The 22,062-nt window shown below is 41.6% G+C and overlaps 1 protein-coding gene across 1 annotated transcript in view; it reads left to right on the top strand.

The window, feature by feature from the left end:
• DNER (delta/notch like EGF repeat containing) overlaps nt 1-22,062 on the top strand; it is a 356,927-nt gene that overhangs the window by 145,691 nt on the left and 189,174 nt on the right. Inside the window, exon 5 of the mRNA NM_139072.4 lies at nt 21,773-21,918. Coding sequence (NP_620711.3) covers nt 21,773-21,918 — 146 coding nt within the window. The remainder of the gene's footprint in view (nt 1-21,772; nt 21,919-22,062) is intronic.

Here is a 22,062-nt window from a genome sequence, read left to right as displayed (position 1 = left end):
TAGGGCCAGGTGTGGTGGCTCATGCCTGTAATCCAAGCACTTTGGGAGGTTGAAGTGGGAGGATTGCCTGAGCGTAGGAGTTTAAGGCCAGCCTGGGCAACATAGAGAGACCTCATCTCTACAGATAATAAAATTTTAAAAAAAAGGAAACGTATAGCTTGGAGCATTCAAAAGTGAGTGTGTAGGTCAGTAGGGATGCGTAAAAGAAACAATGGTTTGCAAAGAAACATTTAGAATTAGAAATAATGCTATAATTATAATAATGAGTGTATGGCATAAATAGTTAATATCCATGACTACAAAGCAATTGCAAAATAAAAATTATTTTCTATTAGTGCGATACTTGTATTTTATAAATCATTTCCTTTAGAATATTAAAGTGTGATTGACTCCTACAAATAAGCCTGAATCCAAAGCCTGCATTTCCTACTGCGGAGTCAGGTCTCTCTCCTATGCTGCAGGCAGCCCTTACCAAGGCAGGGGCCTAAAAATGACATTAGAAATGGAAACTAGAAGCTGGGCACAATGGCACGCACCAGTAGTGCCAGCTACTGAGGAGGTTGATGTGGGAAGATTGCTTAAGCCCAGGAGTTCAAGTCCAGCTTAGGCAACATAGTGAGACATCATCTCTAAAAAAATTAAAACAATAAAAAATAAATAAAATGAAAGCAGGGGGCCTCTTGGAACACGGCTTAAAAACCAAAAAAGAAATGGAAACTAGAAAAGCATGAGATCTACTTGATATGCTTGATGATTTTTTCTTTCTTTGGAATAGGAACAAAAGTTCATTTTTGTTTAGTTTTGTTTTCAGACATCCGTCTTTTATGCTGTGATCCGTGTTAGATATTCTAATAGTGAAGGCAGTCTGTTCACACTCAGATTGGGATTTTGGACAGTAAAGACTGTGAGGGAGAGGGATTGAATTTTTAATTTGCTGCATTGACTATTACAGAAAGAATTGATGATCAGATAGCGGTACAAGACTTTTGTAGAGACTGAAGCATAAATAAAATCTGTTCTGGACAGATAAGGGAGACTCTTTTCAGCCTACTGAGATGATAGTCACATTGAATTACAGAATTTAATTTCAGGAGAGAGCTGATTGGGAACAGGGACAATCAGTAATTCATTATTTCTTGGTAAACCCTCAAAGCAGGATCGGTGGCATTGTTCATGGTCTGCAGCAAGGCGTGGTTTAGAATGAGGCCTTCTACCTAAATTGGCTTGGGGCTCTGTGCTCAAGATATGTAATCCTGGTTAAGGTTGAAGTTACTTTGCTCCATGGTCAGGGCTGTTTTTGGTGACTGCCTGCACTGAAGCCGTTAGCCAGTTGGTTCTCATCACTACCAGCTTTCTTTTCTGGGTTCCTTGTTTCTCTCTGCCACTTTGTCTCTCTTGTATGCCCATATTTGCCATCACCATAGTCAGCTCACTTACCCTCTTGTATTTGTGTGTTCACATATTCCTCCTTCCCTTTCAAAATGTTTTCTGAGTGCCTACTGTGCACTAGGCACCTGCTTGGAGCTGGTGATAGAGCAATGAACAAATCAGACAAAAGTCTCTGCTCTCATGAATCATAGGTTTTAGTAGGGTGCAGAATAAATAGAAAATTACAACTGTGATCAGCACACTGTGCTATGACTGTAGTTGATAATAAAAATATAACAACCTTGTGGAGGAGGGTTTACTACCTTGGAGAAGGACTATTAGGCTGAGATATTAACTAGGCAATGGGGAAAACCCCTTGTAGGCAGAAGGTTGGAACTGCTTGTGCAAAAGCCCTGTTGTTGGAGGGAGTGCATAATATTAGAGGAACTGCAACAAAGCATGAGGCTGGAGCTTGGAGAGTAAGGAGGAAGGTGGTGGAGATGTGGTGAAGAGGTAGCTTGGGTCAGACATGTTGGGCTGTGGAGGCCATGATGGGATCCTAGTGACAATGAGGAGGCATTGAAGGGAAGGTTGAAAAACACATTTATCCTGGTGTAGGATCCCAGTGAAAATATATGCATCTTAATTTTGCAGAAAAACAAGTCATCCCTAAGTCAATAGCTTCCATACCTGGCCAACAGACATCTGGGGGAGCAGGTAAACCCACAGGTGTCTTGGAGCCTAAGTTACAATTGATTAAATAAACTCTTTAGGCAATTATGAATCACTGCAGATTCTAGGTATTTGTGAGCCTGATGGGAGAGAGGCTGGGTGCCGAAGACCTTTCTGGATCTCTAGCAAGTGGAAAAATAAGGAAGACTGCCTGAGAGCTTCTTGAGGCCTGAGGCTGAGGGTATGACAGCACCCGTGATGCAAATGCTAATATGAACTAGAAATAACCCAGGCTGAGTCAGAGTCAACCTTCCCATACATCTACAGTTTTTCTTCTCTCAAATCATGGTGCACCACTGGGGCTTCATTGCAATACATTGGTTAGTTCTATTTTTAGTGCAATAAATACATGCACTGAAAAATAAAGTGTTATGCATAATTTAAGAAGCAAATGCAACCCAAATGAGAAATCTCATTGAACACTTGAAAATTCAGGTAATTTCTTTCATATGACCTTGACCACTTCAACTTGGGATTTTAAATCAGTGTGGAGCAAAGAGCTGTATTAGAACAAAGACAATTGAAAGATCATGTTCACAATGCTTGCAATAGCCAGGCAGGTAAACATGTCAATCAACAGCTTTTCACGTTAGCTCATCTGAAGACCTGATTCCCGGACTCCCTAACGTTTATGAAGTCATCTGCAGCCCAATTAGCTATGTTTAGAATCTCCCATTGCCCCTCACATCAACACAGAGAAGTTATTATTATTTCGACATTCATAGTAATGCCATTAATCAGGAGGCATTCATTGAGTATTAATGACCAGATGTGGTGGGTGATTGGATATGAGTGCTACAGTAATTTAAAACTGATTTACTAGTATTTGATAAGTTGAAACTGTACTAGTGGGAGATAAAGTGATACAATTTGAACTGATTATGAAAAGGTGATCAAATAGACATTGAAAAAGAGATTAAATAAAGAATTTTAATTGTATATTCTGTGCAAGCCAAAAAAATTTCAAAGGAAAGTGCAAATTAATTTTCATGTTCTACCAATGGGTATTCAGAAACTGGCATTTTAAAAAGGTGTCCTATTATGATGTGGTTCTTACAGGCAATAAGAAAATATTTTTGCTAATTGGAGATTACTTAATGTGAGAAATAGGCACATTGGGAGATTTGACAGCTCTACTTGTAAATTTTGCTTCAAAAAAAGATTTTATAATTTGAATATTTTTATACCATTATGCCAACCAATCTGTCTTGTATTAGTTTCTGGTTATACTTTTTAAAAAAAGTCTTTCAAATCCTATGAATGGTAGCCATATCTTGTTTATTCACATATTTTTTACAACTTTAAGTAATGCCTAGAGCCAAGGCTTTTTAATGGAGAGACGGGGCATGAATTATTCAAAAAGGCAGATAGTAAAAATCATTTACTTGCATTTGAATGTATGGTATGCTTTTATTTGGACATTATTTAAAAATTCTAGCAATAATTTTTAAAGAGTAGCAATCATTTAAACAAATTCCATTTCATAGATTTGAATTGAGAAGGGCTTAGAGGACTCTCTGAATGACCTCCATGCTTTCATCCTGGCATTGCTGTTTTCTCAGGGAGCAAACTTTTCCAGAGCCTCTTCCTCAGACTTCTAACAATTCTAAGTTCCACTTAGGACCTGCCGTACATTGAGTGTTTATTTCCTCCCCAAATTCATATGTTGAAATCCTAACACCGAATATGAGGAGTGTTTGCAGCTGGGGCTTTTGAGAGGTGATGAGGTCACAGGGGCAGAGCCCTCATTAATAGGATTAGTGTCCTTATGAAAGAGACCCCAGAGAGCTTCCTCACTTCTCCTGCTATGTGAGGATACAGTGAGAAGATGACCATCTGTGAGCCAGGAACGGGCCCTCAGTGGAACTCAATCTACTTGTACTTCCCAGCCTCTAGATCTGTGAGCAATAAATTTCCTTTGTTTTAAAGCCATCAGTCTATGGTCATTCATTACAGCCACCAAACTCAATAAGCCAGGACTCCATTTTAAATACATGTTGGTTGCTTATGTTGCTGGTGATGATGATGATGATGATGGTGATGGGGTGATGATGTTGATGATGATGGTGATGGGGTGAGGATGATGATGATGATGGTGACGGGGTGATGATGATGGTGGTGATGGGGTGAGGATGAGGATGATGATGGTGATGTGGTGAGGATGATGATGATGATGGTGATGGGGTGATGATGTTGATGATGATGGTAATGGGGTGAGGATGATGATGATGATGGTGATGGGGTAAGGAGGATGATGATGATGGTGATGGTGTGATGATGATGATGGCGATGGGGTGAGGAGGATGATGATGGTGATGGGATGAGGATGATGATGATGATGGTGATGGTGTGATGATGTTGATGATGATGGTGATGGGGTGATGATGATGATGATGGTGATGGGGTGAGGATGATGATGATGATGGTGATGGGGTGAGGAAGATGATGATGGTGATGGGGTGAGGAGGATGATGATGGTGATGGGGTGAGGAGGATGATGATGATGGTGATGCTGTCATGATGTTGATGATGGAGATGAGGTGAGGAGGATGATGATGATAGTGGTGGGGTGATGATGCTGATGATGATGTTGATGGGGTGATGATGTTGATGATGATGGTGATGGGGTGAGGATGATGATGATGGTGATGGGGTGATGATGTTGATGATGATGGTGATGGGGTGAGGATGATGATGATGGTGATGGGGTGATGGTGTTGATGATGATGGTGATGGGGTGAGGATGATGATGATGGTGATGGGGTGAGGATGATGATGATGATGATGGTGATGGGATGAGGATGATGATGGTGATGGGGTGAGGATGATGATAATGGTGATGGGGTAAGGAGGATGATGATGATGGTGATGGGGTGATGACGATGATGGTGAAGGGGTGAGGAGGATGATGATGACGGTGGTGGGGTGATGATGATGATGGTGATGGGGTGATGATGTTGATGGTGATGGGGTGATGATGTTGATGATGATGGAGATGGGGTGAGGAGGATGATGATGATGGTGATGGGGTGATGATGATGATGGTGATGGGGTGAGGAGGATGATGATGACGGTGATGGGGTGATAATGTTGATGATGATGGTGATGGGGTGATGATGATGTTGATGATGTTGGTGATGGGGTGATGATGATGATGGTGATGGGGTGATGATGTTAATGATGATGGCAATGGGGTGAGGATGATGACGATGATGGTGATGGGGTGATGACGATGATGGTGATGGGATGATGATGTTGATGATGATGATGGGGTGAGGATGATGATGATAATGGCGATGGGGTGATGATGAAGATGATGATGGTGATGGGGTGAGGATGATGATGATGATGGCGATGGGGTGATGATGATGATGGTGATGGGGTGAGGATGATGATGATGGTGATGGGGTAAGGAGGATGATGATGATGGTCATGGTGTGATGATGTTGATGATGATGGTGATGGGATGAGGAGGAGGATGATGATGGTGATGGTGTGATGATGTTGATGATGATGGTGATGGGGTGAGGAGGATGATGATGGTGATGGGATGAGGAGGAGGATGATGATGGTGATGGTGTGATGATGTTGATGATGATGGTGATGGGGTGAGGAGGATGATGATGGTGATGGGATGAGGAGGAGGATGATGATGGTGATGGTGTGATGATGTTGATGATGATGGTGATGGGGTGAGGAGGATGATGTTGATGATGTTGGTGATGGGGTGAGGAGGATGATGATGATGGTGGTGGGGTGATGATGTTGATGATGATGTTGATGGGGTGAGGATGATGATGATGATGGTGGTGGGATGATGATGTTGATGATGATGGTGATGGGATAAGGATGATGATGAAGTTGATGATGATGGTAATGGGATAAGGATGATGATGAAGTTGATGATGATTTATAGTGTCCTTACATAATGCTTGCACTTTCCTAAAAACTATTCTGATATTAAGACCTTTAATCATAACAACCACCCCAGGAAATAGATAGTGCTATTATTTTTATTTTAGAAAGAAGGAATCCAGGACATGAAGGGTATAACTAACTCTCTCAAAGTCACAGAGCTGGTGAGAACTCAGGCCATCTGGTGGCAGAGCCTGGTGTAATCTTTCCATTACCCTTGTGTCAGCACAGGAGCCTGGTATCTCATTTAAATATTCATAGTAAAGCCACTAATCAGGAAGCATCCATTTGGAATTAATGAATGGATATTATGGGCAATTACCACTTCTGTAATGTGAAACATACTCTATACAGAATACATAAAGTGTTAAAAATCGAATTATAGAATATACATGTTTATATGCATATTTCATATATCCCTATTTAATCAGAGGAATGACATTAGACACTTTTGCTAAGTTGATGTTCCCACTCCTCCCTATTCAATATAAAGCGAGCCACCTTGATGACTACTCAGCTTTGTCACTACAAAGGAAGAGGACCGAGAAGGGGATGTGATGGAGTTAGTATTTTGTGTTTATGACTCTAAGTAGTAGCTGAATGGTGATTCTTTCTGGGCCAGGTGGCAGAGGTGGTGGGATGTGGCCCAGGAGGGGTTTTGTGTGATTTATTTACAGGCCTGTATTGTTTAGGGAACAGGATAAGCTGTTGCAATAGAGAGACCTCAAATACAGTGGCTTCAACAAGGTACAAGTTAATTTCTCCCCACTGTTACCATCAAGAGGTAGTTGGTCTAGGACCGATAGAGTACACTTGTGTGCTCTCAACACACAGGTTCCATCTCTGGATGCAAACTGGCTGTCCAAGCTGTCACAATCACATTGGTATTTTAGCCAATAGGAAGGGCGCGTGCTCGGTCCTTGTAAATGTACAATACGGTATTTCTGTACTTTGTCTCACTGGTCACAGAGGAGAAACATACTTTAGCTGCGTGGCCCAGTTCACAGCAAAAACTCCACATCCCATTATTATAGGCATGAGAGGAGAATAGATATCAGTGGGCAATTAGCAGTTATTCCCGCAGTTCAAATACTCAACTAGGACAAATGATTTGACTTAGGACACATAACTTAGTCTAATATTAATGGAGAGAGGAGTGTGGTAGGGTGAATCTTGAAAAAATATTAAACAGAAATGTAGCACGGTGGCTAATAACACTTTACTATGGGAATAGAAATTTCTTTTGGAAAAGTGTAGAATGTCAGTCTAGGAAGGACTCTCAATATAATTTTTTTTTGTTCACTCTTTAAGCCTGTATTTTGATATTAAATAAATTTTAGAGTTTTCTCTGCAGGATGAATAGACAGAGAGTGTACCTGAGATGTTTATAAAGTAGGAAGGTAGTTGTTAAGGATTGCTATATTTGACAGTAAGGTTTGTTGAGAATAAGCCAATCTATCTTCAGGTGATAGCAAGTTGATTGTATGTTTGCTAGGATATCATCACAGTATCTTTACAATTTTTTTCCCTAGAGCAAATGATATTACTTAATATGTAATTTTCATAGTCATTTGGCTAGGTATAATCTACCTGATGGTTTACATAAGTGACAAAGGTAAAAATATTTGGACCATTTCTGGGATGTACTGTTGTGTCTTCTAATTTGGAAAGCATTTTTTGGCCATACTTTACTTAGGAACCCAGAGAAAATGAGAGATTCTGTGTGGGTGAATTTTCCAAAAAGCAATTTGCTCTTTTAAGCATCTAAACGTGCCTTACAAGCAAGCAAGCAAACCACAAGTAACCTTTAGTTGGAAATTTTTAAAAGCCTTTTTACAAAAGGTGAGAATACTCTACATGAAATCCTGGGATAGTTGGTGTGACCAGGCAAGTGACATTCTTCAGTGATGGAGGCATAATTGTGATAGTCCATGGGTGTGGTGACACTTTTTAAATGCTTATTTAATGCCCCCGGCCCCTTTACCTCCTGGTTTGGACTGCGTTCTGCTTACGTGTAATGGAAGGACATCTGAGTCCACACAGCTGAGGTATGTTAGTAAGCCTCGTGTAATCATTGCCACCCTGGACTGGGTCCTGGCTCAAGTTTGCTCTCAGCATCGAGCAATTTTTGCACCTGGCCCGACATTGTCAAGAGTTGATTTATTTCTCCAGTTTTGTTTCCCAGCCCACAAGTATTGAGTCACAAATCCAGGGGGATCCTGACCGGCTTATTAGCTTTGCACTAACCTTATCCCACCTTCTGAAAGAGTTGGCACAGGTGTGCTGTTTCACCCCTGCCTCTGAGGGGTGAGATGCGGGATTGCAGGTGTTTGTCTTCCCCCACCTCCGAGTTAATGCAAAATCCCTGGGTCTTCATCTGGGGATGGAATCTGTGATATTGCAAACCTTTCATGCCTATCTGGTGCCAGCCATGGGACTTTGTGGACTGTGAACCATTTTTTTAGGTTATTGGTTTGTGCCAAATGACTTGTTGTGTCTTAATAGGAAAACTTGGCACAGTCTGTTTCCAACACGTACTGCTCAAATATTTATGGTCAGAATTTCTATTTTCCACTTATGCTTTCCCTTTAACAGGAAAGAAAATGGTCTTTAGCCAAATGGCTGAAGTGAGAAAAGCAAATCCCATTTGCTATTAATCCCAATGAGGTGTTAACTACAAAGTCCATTTAAGACTCTTTAGTATTAATATTAAGGGAGACAAGCAGTAAAACAAACAGTTAATGGCCTGAAGCCCAGCATTTTGTGCTTCCACTGATGCTTGACCACTCCATTCCAGAGATAATGACTGGAGCCCCTTTTGGTTGTCCTCAGCTTTGCATTTGCACCAAGGGAGGTGAGCTTGGCAAAGTCTTGGTTTTAAAAGGGCCATAATGATGGCAGAACATTTCATTGCCATCCTAATGAGCACAGCTTGGAGTTGTGGGCAAGAGCAGAGTAAGTGCATTTGTTTGTGTGATAGGAGAGTGGGGAAGGAGGAGAGTGGAAATGGAAGGAGAGAGAAGGAAACCCAACTTTTATTTGTCATCATAACCAGTTACTCAAGGGTGTTAACAGATCCCTGGATAATCTTTGGAGAAAGTTCCCCTTCATTACAGTTTTAAACTCATTAGGGAAATCTCCCAGTTGTGTAGCAAATAGAAGTGAGCCTCTCAAGTCCAGCACTGTCATTTTTCCTCCTCCCTCCTTCCTTCCCTTTCTTCTGTCTTTTTTTTCTCCAGCATCTAAATGTTGAGTTGAGCTGTGTAGAGTCCTTGAGACTTCCTTTTTTCTGGTAGACCAAAGTCTCCCTCTTCCATGCTAACGTTGCCAAAGGTCTGACCTCCCGAAGCTGTTTATGTTCTTCAGGTCACAGAGATCTTATCTTTCCTTATAACTCTGCTTTGGGAAAATAATGAAGATATTTATGTTTTAGTTGATTTTTCTAGTATGATGATGGTCTGATATCTATGTCAAACTGTTTATATCATGACTGTCAGGCTGTAGAGCTTGGTTCTGGGCCTTGTCACCCTCTATTCTCTCCCTAAGTACACTTTCCCTGTCCCAGTGGTTTTAATACCATCCGTATTCAGATGAGTCCGAAACTGAAATCTTCAGCCATGATGTTTCTAACTACCCATATTCTACGTCCAACCACCAACTTGATTGCTCCCTTTGGGGGTCTCATCAGCATCCCAAATTTAGTACACTAACGATGGAAATCTTGATTCACTTGCCTACCACCACACCCCCCACAAAGTTGCCTAAACTATCTATGTGTAATTTCTTCCCTTCCCTCATACCTCACATCCAATCTATATGAAAATCTTGTTTGTTCTTTGAGTTGTGGTCTTTGAGAATGCACCAGTCGTGTGTTATTCCCCTGCTTAAAACTCTCCAATGGATTCCCATGGTGCTTGGCAAGGAATCCACATCTTTACTAAGGTTCATGAGACCGGTTGTGATCTGGCCCCTCCTGCTTCTCTGCCTCAGCTAAGACACTGGTGACTGGAGCTCTGTCTGACACACTGACCTCCCCAGCTTTTCTTGCTGGCTCATTTTCACCTTCAGGGCTCAACCTAAATGCTACCTCCTACCTTGACCTCGGCAAACATCTGCTGAATGTTGAATGAATGGACTCAGCTCTCCCTCCATCCTACACTGCTCTCCCTCCCACCCCATCCTGCAGCCCAGTCCTTACATGGACTCATGATCTGTTCAGTTAGGGTGCTTCTGTATTTCAGCCTCATAAATGGAATCACAGACTTAGAATATATACAGTTATGATTTAAGCAAATGTTTATTTGTGAAAACTTTGAAATAACTCGAATTTTACATTTTTTGTGGGTTGCAGTGAGGAATATAAGGTTATAAAAATCAGATGATGATAGAATGCCTTTTTATAACAAAAGATATAAGAACCCTTGACATTTTTGACAGAAAGCCTTTATTTTCTCTTTTTTAAAACTTATATTTGAAGTTCTGGGGTACAAGTGCATGTTTGTTGCATAGATAAACTTGGGTTATGGGGGTCTATTGTACAGATTATTTTATCACCCAGGTATGAAGCCTTGTACTCATTAGTTATTCTTCCTGATCCTCTCTCTCCTCCTACCCTCCACCCTCCAAAAGGCGCCAGTGTGTGTTGTTCCCCTCTATATGTCCATGTGTTCCCATCATTTCACTCCCACTTATAAGTGAGAACATGCAGTGTTTGGCTTTCTGTTCTTGTGTTAGTTTGCTAAGGATAATGGCCCCCAGCTCCATCCATGTCCCTGCAAAGGACATGATCTCATTCTTTTTTATGGCTGCATAGTATTCCATGGTGCATATGTACCACATTTTCTTTATCCAGTTTATCATTGATGAGCATTTAGGCTGATTTCATGTCTTTGCTCTTGTGAATAGTGCTGCAATGAATGTACACATGTAGGTGTCTTTATAATAGAATAATCTATATTTCTTTGGCTATATACCCAGCAATGGATTGCTGAATCAAATGGTATTTCTGTCTTTAGGTCTTCGAGGAATTGCCACACTGTCTTCCAAAATAAGCCTTCATTTTCTTTCCTCCATTTCGACTTTGTTTCTCTGTATTAATTTCCTTTTTTTTTTTCTTTTGTCTCCCTCAGTATCTATCTTATGGTTTGGTTTTCTTTTCCCATCACCCTTCTTAGTCTTTCTTCCTCTTTTACTCTCTCTTTTTCTGTCTTTTCTTCTTTCTTTTATAAATCTCTCCTTTCTATTTCTCTTTCTTGCTTGTAATTCACAGCAGGCTTTATTGGGGCACCTTCATTGCCTCCTATGTGGCACCAGTTCTTCAGCCTAAAAAGACCATGGGAATGCAGGTGTTGACAAAAGCCCATTCCCTATTCTCAAACAGCTTCGTAAATGCATCCAGACTGTCATTCTCACTGCTACTTTACTGGTTTTCGTCTCTGATCAGTTGGCCTGTGGATCTTAGAATTCTGAGTATGAAGACAAGTCTTTCTATACAGACCTCTATGCAGCAGCAACTATGCTATGTACATTGACTTCCTACCATTAAGGAAGAGAAAAAGTGAGCATGTGCTCTGCATTTCTTATAAAGTATGTTGGAAGTGTCTATCAGTTTGAGTGCTGTGTCAAAGAACTCACACTGGCTTTTCAACAGCTCTCAAATGATCACTCTTTTATAAAGCCCCAAAGAACTTCCTTCTTTTGAATGAATTCTATTTCATTTCAGATTCTTCCTGCTGCCCCTTTGTAAGGGGCACAGTTCCTGCTCTTGGCATGTGGAATTTCCTGAGGGCTACTTTGCTTCTGACCCAGCTGCAGTTTGATGAAAGTTAAACCGGACAGTATTGCTTTTCATTATGAGGAAATACAGGCATTTCCCCCTAGATGTGATCAAAGGGAGATATAAACAACTAACTGAAATTGCACTTTTACCTGGAAGGAGCCTCCAGCCACTGTTCTTATTGAGTGAACAGCACATTGCTGCAAATAACATGCTTGTCCTATTGATCCACTTTAGGGGATTGGTTAAAATAATTAGGAGTTACGTGGTAATGTGTGACACACTGTTGCAAAGACTGATTTCAGTAATCATCTATTAACAGATTTTAGGACCAAAATACAGTCTTAATAAGCAAATAAAGCTAATACAGAAACCATTTTCAGAGTTGTCTCTAAGAACTTCAGAGACTTATGATGAACTTGGGAATATCAATTTTGTCTAAATATCATCTCATCACCTAGATTTCAAAAATAGATGAGTAAAATATTCCAATTTTAGATGTGCATAAGGTTGCCTTTAATTCAAGGTGATTTTTACTTTAATAATAAAACGCATCACTCATGTGACTTAGATTAGTTTTTGTACCAGACCAGTGGTTCTTAACTGGAAGCACACATCAGAATTACTTAGAGCATTTTTCACAAAAACATGCCTGCCAGGGACCCATCCAAGACTATAGATTCTGAATCACTTATTTTGGAGCCTGGATATACAGGCTTTGAAAAAGCTCCTGCAAACTTTTGAAGCTACTGGTTTCAACACTAGTTAAGAACTGCTACTTTTGCCTGAAAGTTTGGAGTGGCAGAAACCAAGCGTGACTTATCTTTGTAACCTTAGAATTTACAGTGGTGTCTCACTGGTGGACGCGAGTTCAGTAAGTGTTCATCAAGGAAATGGAAGCAAATTATCTAGAAAACTATGCCTTGTATATTTTTAACTACACATTCATTTGCATTATTGCTGGGTAAGTATAATAGTTAAATAGGACTTTAAAACTAATCATTGGAAGAAAGCCTTGTCTATAACATTTTAGATCATTGTGTGGTCTAAATGCTTAGTAAGTAGACAGAGATGATATAGATCTTAATAAATAGTTTAATGTGAAACTAGAGAATGAAGCAAAGGTATGAAAAATACTTTTATAATAACTGATGTCTGATTTTATCTTTATTATTTTATGCGTAAAAGTGTTACTTGGAATAAGAACTGGTAGCATCCCAACATTCTAGCAGGCTCCATTTCTCTACCAAAGGTAATCACCAGTTGGTAAGCAATTTTTTTTTTTTTAGTAAACTGGAATTTGTACATCCAAATGATTGCTGTTCTTCAAAGTGGACATATTGGATGATAAGACATTTTAAGAACTCCTATTTGGGAATTGTCTTTGCTGCTTTGGCTATTAATGTACCTGTATCTTGACTCCCTACTCACCACTTCTCTAAGACTTGTCCCTTGCCATCAAGGAAGCTTCAGTAAAGGTGGTATAAGAAGCCACCCAAGATACAAAATGATCAGGAAGAGGTACATGATGTTTTACGCCTGAGCACAGATGGACATGGTAGAGCTCAGAGTGGGCTAGAATATGGAGGAGAGGCTTATGAATAAGGTGGTCTCTGAGCTGGATCTCAATGGCTGTAAGACTGGAAGAAGGAGGAGTATTCCAGACAAAGGGGGCATTGTGGAAATGTTTACAGAGTTGGGGTGAGCAAGATGTGTAAAGGCTGCTGGGAGAGGTGTAAGGTGTCTACATGGTTCAGGGCCATAAAGGAAGAATAGAAAGCACCACAGAAGAGGCACTTTTGCCTAAATTGTTAATTTCCTTACTTCCCAAAGCCAATTTAAATAAACTTTTCAGTAAGAAATCTTAGGAAGATAGCAATTAGTTCTCTTTGGACATAAAATACCACTCTGCATCAGACCTGTGGTGCCTGTCTTTACTGAGACACCAAGAGATATTTGTCTCCTAATGCCCTACTTGAAGTTGAGGAATGTCTCCACTCACTCTGACTTTTATTAATCTCCTATCATGACCTTGTTGCCCATGAATTTCCTTCCTTCCCTTTCTCTTTTTCCTTCCTTTCTCCCTTCCCTTCCCTTCCCTTCCCTTCCCTTCCCTTCCCTTCCCTTCCCTTTTCTCTCTTCTCTTCTCTTCTCTTCTCTTCTCTTCTCTTCTCTTCTCTTCTCTTCTCTTCTCTTCTCTTCTCTTCTCTTCTCTTTTCCTTTCAGGGTCTTACTCTGTCACCCAGGCTGGAGTGCAGTGGCATAATCAAAGCTCACTGCAGTCTCCCCTTCCTGTGCTCAAGTGATCCTCCTGAGTAGCTGGGGCTACAGGTGTGTGTGCCATCACGCCCAACTAATTTTTATTATTTATTTATTTATTTTTTTGAGACAGAGCCTTACTCCGTCACCCAGGCTGGAATGAAGTGGCACGATCTCAGCTCACTGCAATCACCTCCCGGGTTCAAGCAATTCTTTTGCCTCTGCCTCCCAAGTAGCTGGAATTACAGGCACATGCCATGATGCCCTGCTGATTTTTGTATTTTTAGTACAGATGGAGTTTCAGCATGTTGGCCAGGCTGGTCTCGGACTCCTGCCCTCAAGTGATCTGCCCACCTTGGACTCCCAAAGTGCTAGGATTATAGGCGTGAGCCATCATGCCTGGCCATTGTAAAATTTTTTGTAGGGACGAGGTTTCACTATGTTGTCCAGGCTGGTCTTGAACTCCTAAGCTCGAGTGATCCCCCAGTCTCAGCATCCCAAAGTGCTGGGACTACAGGTGTGAGCCACCATGCCTGGCTGAATTGAACGTCATACTACTTTTTTGAATCCATCTTCTGCCTGTTAAAAACATTCTTAGCATTGATGTAGGACTTTGCAGATATTCTGTCTCCAGATGCTCCCTGGGACATTAAGTGCAGGGTGACTATATTGTCCCATTGCCTGGGAGAGTCTCACTTTATGCCTGTGTCCAGGCATAATTATAAAAAGTTGTATTTTGAAAGGCATCTTAGTTTTGAAGATAAATTCCATGGTCAGCCTACTTGGGTTATTATTCCTACTTAACAATGTCCAGCACATTGTCTTAGCACCTTTTATGAGTAATGCAGGAATGTTTCTTCTAGATAATTGAGGTGTTGATTGTACGTTGTTCATTTACATTCTGGGCTGGCTAAAGTCATAGCCGTGTCTTCCTCTGTCCCAAGGAGAATCAGGGTAAATGTTTCCCATAGCCTCAGTGATGGGATTTGAGGGATCCCACAGGTCTGAGACAAACCCTAGACAATTATGAATAGAGTTGTTATCGTTGGCAGTTTTCTATTTTCTCAACCAGTACAGGGCCCACAGGAGAAACTGGCATACACAATAGAGATTGAAGTACGGAGGAACCTGCGGCTTTTCACAAGGTGTTTGCCTGGGGGACCTAGGCCACTTAGGAACCCACCTGCGCTGGCATGGCAGCCAACATGGGCAGGCCGGACATGTCAGTTTCTCACTCGGCACAGTTACTCGGGTTCTTCCTTGATGGGTTCCCTTCACCAATTGGTTTGTTCCATTTTGGGTCTTATCCCTGTCCTTTGTCTTGTCCCCACTGCTCCCCTGTGTTCCTCTGTCTAACACTCATGAGATGACATCTTCGCAGGGCTTCCTTCTCTCTATGTATGAGTGCCTCTGATTTCCTGACTTTGAAAAAGAGTCAGGAATTCTGACTAATTCTGCATAGAATGTGGGGAACTGGCTTAGCTTTAACAAGACTTGACTGAATGCCCAGGAAACACACAAGTACAACCCAGAGATCAATTGACCACAGCTACTGGAAGCAGTTCTGAGAGCTAGAGGACCTCATCAGATTTGTGCCAATCCCCTGGCACTAAAGGGATCTCCAGGAATCATTGCACATCAGAATCCCATTCAGAGTGTACAGATTCCTTTTGCTCTTCAATTCAAAGCTTGCTTTATTTTTTGCCCTAGGATGGCCCCCATTTAGCATGGTAGATGGTGGGTATCTACTCTCCCTCACCTCTAGGATGCGATGGCCTGGATGAGCTGAGAAGCCATGTAACCCTGGTGGTTCTTCATGCATTGGTGCATTTCCAAAGCACATGGCCACAGCAATTGATTTCATCCAGGTGGCCTTGTCGCAAGCCCGGGATAATAGCTTTTTATAGTCCTCTGGCCAGACAAAGGAGAAGATGGGGTCTGGCTCCTCTCCTCCCATAGTCCAGGCCTAGCTTTTTGAAGCTCCAAAGCCACACAAAACAGTATAGGCAGATGATGGTATGGATCCCAATTTAAGAGAACCCCACCTGTATTAGTCAGTTTTCACACCGCTACAAAGACATACCCAAGACTGGGTAATTTGTAAAGGAAAGAGATTTAACTGACTCACAGTTCCGCAGGGATTGGGAGCCCTCAGGAAACTTACAAACATAGTGGAAGGGAAGCAAACATGTCCTTCTTCGCATGGTGGCAGCAAGTAGAAGTGCTGAGAAAAAGGGGGAAAAGCCCCTTATAAAACCATCAGATCTCATGAGAACTCGCTCACTATCAGGAGAACAGCATGAGGGTGACCATTTCCACGATTAAACTACCTCCCACTGCATCCCTCCCACCACACGTGGGGCTTATGGGAACAACAATTCACAATGAAATTTGGGTGGGGACACAGCCAAACCATAGCAGCACCCTCCAGATTTCTTTCAGAGGAAGCAAATGGTTCTACAGATTTAATATTATTGGGCCAAACATTTACCATCTCAGCCTGAAACACCTGCCTGTAGGTTAATTCCATCCTTCAGGACTTCAGGACTGCCTCAAGGACCGTCTGCATTTCCCTGAATCATGGCTGCGAGGTTCACTGGGCTTCCAGAGTGGTCCCTCAAGCATGCACTGCCTGTCCCATAGACAGTCCTGCTTTTACCCTAGAAGGTAGAGGCTCTTCACAGCCTTCTCAAAGGTGGTTGTTTGGTTCAAAATTTTTTAAGATCCATTCTGCTCAGTAATCTTCATTGTATGACTGTACTTTAAATTACGTATATGTATTCCACACACGTCTATATTACATGTTCATAAAATGCACACACACTACATATATTTGTATATACATACTTATTATTTTATTTATTTATTTATTTATTTATTTTTTGAGATGGAGTCTCACTCTGTCACCCAGCTGGAGTGCAGTGGTGCAATCTCCGTTCACTGCAACCTCCGCCTCCCGGGTTCAAGTTATTCTCCTGCCTCAGCCTCCCGAGTAGCTGGGATTACAGGCACCCACCACCATGCCCGGTAATTTTTTGTACTTTTAGTAGAGATGGGGTTTCACTATGTTGGCCAGGCTAGTCTTGAACTCCTGACCTCGTGATCTGCCCACCTCTGCCTCCCAAAGTGCTGGGATTACAGGCATGAGCCACTGCGCCCTTCCTTATTTATGTTTTTTTTTAAACGGGGTTTCACTCTTGTTGCCCAGGCTGGAGTGCAGTGGCACGATTTTGGCTCACTGCAACCTCTGCCTCCTGCGTTCAAGTGATTCTCCTGCATCAGCCTCCCACGTAGCTGGGATTACAGGTGCTCACCATCACGCCTGGCTAATTTTTAAATTTTTAGTAGGGATGGGGTTTCACTGTGTTGGCCAGGCTGGTCTTGAAATCCTGACCTCAGGTGATCCACCTGCCTCTGCCTCCCAAAGTGCTGAGATTACAGGCGTGAGCCACTGTGCCTGGCCTATATATACTTACTTAATGTGGGCACTTCCTATTAAATTTTTAGAGGCTCAATCTGTTTTCAGAAGGGTTATTAGTCATCGTAGATATTTGTGATATCATTTTTATATCTTTCCCCAAAGATAATAAACAAACAGAAAAGACAAACAGAAATAGCTGAGAGGCCATGAGAGAAGTCTTACATTTATGAAAACTTTTAAAAGAAGTATGAAAAATGAAACAATGTAGGAAGTCTGTCCTGACTTTTTAAGCCAAATTTCTCAAAATATCCTTCTCTTTAAAAGTATGAAAAGTGAACCTGTGTCAAGCAATACTTTGAGTAAACCTGTGAAAACAGGCTTTAGGAGTGTGCAACACCTTAGTGTGCAAGGACTTCAACATTGAGAACATTGAAAATATTTGGGAAGTTTTGCTAATTTGTTGTCAATAGAAGCAGCATGTTCTCAAGTGACCATCAGTTAATGAGGTGATGCTAGGTACCATGCAGGCAAGGTGAACCAACGTGGGCTCTGTTTCTATCCAGTTAATTATTACTTTTTAATGCAATATACTTATTTATTTATTTATTTATTTATTTTTTGAGACAGAGTCTCGCTCTGTCGCCAGACTGGAGCGCAGTGGTGCAATCTCGGCTCACTGCAACCTCCGCCTCCCGGTTCAAGCGATTCCCCTGCCTCAGCCTCCCGAGTAGCTGGGACTACAGTCACACACCACCATGCCTGGCTAATTTTTTTGTATTTCATTAGAGACAGGGTTTCTCCATGTTGACCAGGATGGTCTCGATCTCCCGACCTCATGATCCACCTGCCTTGGCCTCCAAAAGTGCTGAGATTACAGGCATGAGCCACTGCGCCCGGCCAACTTAACGTACTTATAAGAACAAATTGTGAGGAAACGTCTAGAGAAGGTGACCACAAAGTCATTTTGGGACTGTGTATTCTAGATTTCTGGATACTAATATTTTCCTAACCTGTTAAAGCCTGTTTGAAGTTGTGATGCCTGAACTATGATAATCGAAATAAAAAACTTGGTTACACAATATTTAAAATATGCATAAAATTGGCTGGGCATGGTGGCTCCTGCCTGTAATCCCAGCACTTTGGGAGGCCGAGGCGGGAGGATCACTTGAGGCCAGGAGTTCGAGAACAGCCTGGCCAACATGGTGAAATCCCGTCTCTACTAAAACCACAAAAATTAGCTGGGTGTGGTGGCGCGTATATGTAATCCCAGGTACTTGGGAGGCTGGGGCACAAGGATTGCTTGAACCTGGGAGGCAGAGGTTGCAGTGAACCAAGATTATGCCGCTGCAGTCCAGTCTGGGCCACAGAGTGAGACTTTGTCTCAAAAGAAAAAAAAGCATAGAACTATGGAAATGAGTATAAGATTTCATTGTACACAAGATTTAATGTTTTGCAAAATTTGCTCTATTATTATTATTATTTTGAGACAGAGTCTCACTCTGTCACCCAGGCTGGAGTGCAGTGGCACGATCTTGGCTCACTGCAACCTCTGCCTCCCGGGTTCAAGCGATTCTTCTGCCTCAGCCTCTCGAGTACCTGGGATTACAGGCGCATGCCAACATGCCTGGCTAATTTTTGTATTTTTAGTAGAGATGGGGGTTTCACCATATTGGCCAGGCTGGTCTTGAACTCCTGACCTCATGATCCACGCGCTTCTGCCTCCCAAAATCCTGGGGTTACAGGCATGAGCCACCATGCCCGGCCTATGTTATTAAGAAAGAAATAAAATATTATAGGCTGGATGTGGTGGCTCATGCTTGTAGTCCCAGCACTTTGGGAGGCCAAGACGGGGAGATCACTTGAGGTCAGGAGTTTAAGACCAGTCTGGCCAACATGGTGACACCCCGCCTCAATACAGAAATTATCCAGGTGTGATGGCAGGTGCCTGTAATCTCAGCTACTTGGCAGGCTGAGGCAAGAGGATCATGTGAACCCTGGAGTCGGAGGTTGCAGTGAGCTGAGATTGAACCACTGCACTCCAGCCTGGGCAACAGAGTGAGACTCCGTCTAAAAATAAAATAAAAGTATGGAAATGAATATAATTTTTTTGTACACAAGATCGAATAAGTGTTTTGTGGTATTTGCTCTATGTATTATTAATACATAAATAAAATATTATATAGGTGGTCAGAAGCTCCATCTCCCTGGCTACCCCTATTTCCCCGGATCCTTTTCCTGAATTTGGTGTGTTTCTTTCCATGCATCTTGGTATACTTTTACTGTATGTATACATATGCGTAACAGCGTTTCTTAATGCTTCATAGATTTCAATATTTATATAAGTATAAATAACGTTGAGAAAAAAGCAGTTTGCCAAAAAAATTCTCCATATATTCTGGCAGCTAAGCATTTGCTGGTTTTATGCATTATAAATTTCATTTTCAAGCCTGTGTCTTGTCTACTGTCTTTTTTTATGGTAGCTATGTACATATAATTTAAAATCGGGTAAAGTTAAATTGATTGTTCTTTATGGTTATTATTTTGCCCTTGTTTAATAAATCCCCTATCTTTAGATCAATGAAATAGCCCCCTATATTTTCCACTTGAAGTTTTAAAGGTTTTTTTGTTTGTTTGTTTTTTATATATTTTTTATTATACTTTAAGTTGTGGGTTACATGTGCAGAACGTGCAGTTTGGTTACATAGGTATACACATGCCCTGGTGGTTTGCTGCACCCATCAACCCACCACCTACATTAGGTATTTCTCCTAATGCTGTCCCTCCCCTACTCACCCCCGCCCCTGACAGGCCCCAGTGTGTGATGTTCCCCTCCCTGTGTCCATGTGTCCTCATTGTTCAACTCTCACCTATAAGTGAGAACATGTGGTGTTTGGTTTTCTGATCTTGTGATAGTTTGCTGAGAATGATGGTTTCCAGCTTCATCCATGTCCCTGCAAAGGACATGAACTCATCCTTTTTTATGGCTGCATGGTATTCCACGGTGTATATGTGTCACATTTTCTTAATCCAGTCTATCATTGATGGACATTTGGTTTGGTTCCAAGTCTTTGCTATTGTGAATAGTGCCACTTTAAAGGTTTTAATTCGTATTTAGCTCTTTAAGCCATCTAGATTTACTTTTGTATAGTGTGAGGTGTGAGGGATCCAAACCTACTCTTTTTCCTGATAATGGAACTCATTTCAGTTGCCCTAGAATCAATTCTTTTCTCTCTCTTTTCCCCACTGACTCCTAGTAGTCCCCTTGGTCTTACAAATCTTTTGTTGTAAAACTATCTATGAATGTGGCTTTGTAATGATGAGGCTTTTTAACTTTTACTCTTGACAGAGCTGAGGAAACTTTTTAAAATCATATTCATTAATTTCGATATTTTGTTTTAAAATTAAAAATTAGATACAAATGAATGTTCATATTAGAAAAAAATGCTCACTTAGTGAAAATAATTTAATCCTTGATGCAAAAATACTTATAATATTTATTTCTCCTTTCCAGTTAGAGGCTATATTTATTCATCAATTTATTCCATATTTATTGCTACCTACTATGTATGAATAGCTGCTCTAGGACATAAAGATCATTCAATGACAAATACGGTGTGTCAATGATACTGCAATCCATATTCAACTATGATTAGTCCCATTTTATTAGATGGCTAAAACTGTATGGCTTAACTTGATACTGTGGAGTCAGATTGGTGATCAAGTAAGATGCATATCTTATCAATGATCAATAAACCCAACAGAGAATTTGTACCCATGCTGCATGCCTACTCCAAGGGGACCGAGACTAGGGCAGGTGATAACTGGGTGGGGCCTTTGAGGATTTCCAGCATTTGTGACTCCAAAGTAGCCAGGAGGAGGAGGACTTGGGTAATGCAGGTAAGCTGCTCCCTGGTAGAAGACTGGGGTTCCAAAGCAGAAACTGAATTCTAAGACGCCAGCACAGGGATGGGATTGAGAGACAAAGCAGCCCCCAGAGGGCAAGGGCGGGAGCAAAGCGAAAGGATCTGAGGTGGTTGCTCAAGTGCCTGGTGCTGATTTTGCTTGGCCTTAGGTGTTTCTTATGAGGCTTGGGAGGACCAGCCTGCCCTAAAGTCCTGAGGTCTCAGTGGATGGTGGCCATGTGCTTTATTCCCTTGCCTCACTGCATTTTGTTTTGTCAGACTTGAGTGCTGCCTACACTAAATTCATAGTCTTGTAGAAAGGCTGTTGGTAAAGCTTTCAACACACTGCCTTTAAAGAGGAGACACTTGACAATTTCCTTTTGCCTCATTTTCTTTTAGGTTTTGTGAATGATTCTGTGACTAAGTCTATTGTGGCTTTGCGCTTAACTCTGGTGGTGAAGGTCAGCACCTGTGTGCCGGGGGAGAGTCACGCAAATGACTTGGAGTGTTCAGGAAAAGGAAAATGCACCACGAAGCCGTCAGAGGTAAGGGGATGCCTGGTAGCTTGTAAATACACATATTTACATGAATATTTACCTGAATAAATACATAAGTATGTGTGTGTTCTTACCCCTTTCATCCTTGCTCTATCTATCTATCTGTCTGTCTGTCTGTCTGTCTGTCTGTCT

The sequence above is a fragment of the Homo sapiens genome, chromosome 2 (genome assembly GCF_000001405.40).
Source record: "Homo sapiens chromosome 2, GRCh38.p14 Primary Assembly".
NCBI classification, from domain to species: Eukaryota; Metazoa; Chordata; class Mammalia; order Primates; family Hominidae; genus Homo; species Homo sapiens.
The sequence above is the reverse complement of the archived record's forward strand: the minus strand, read 5'-3'. Positions and strand labels throughout refer to the sequence as shown.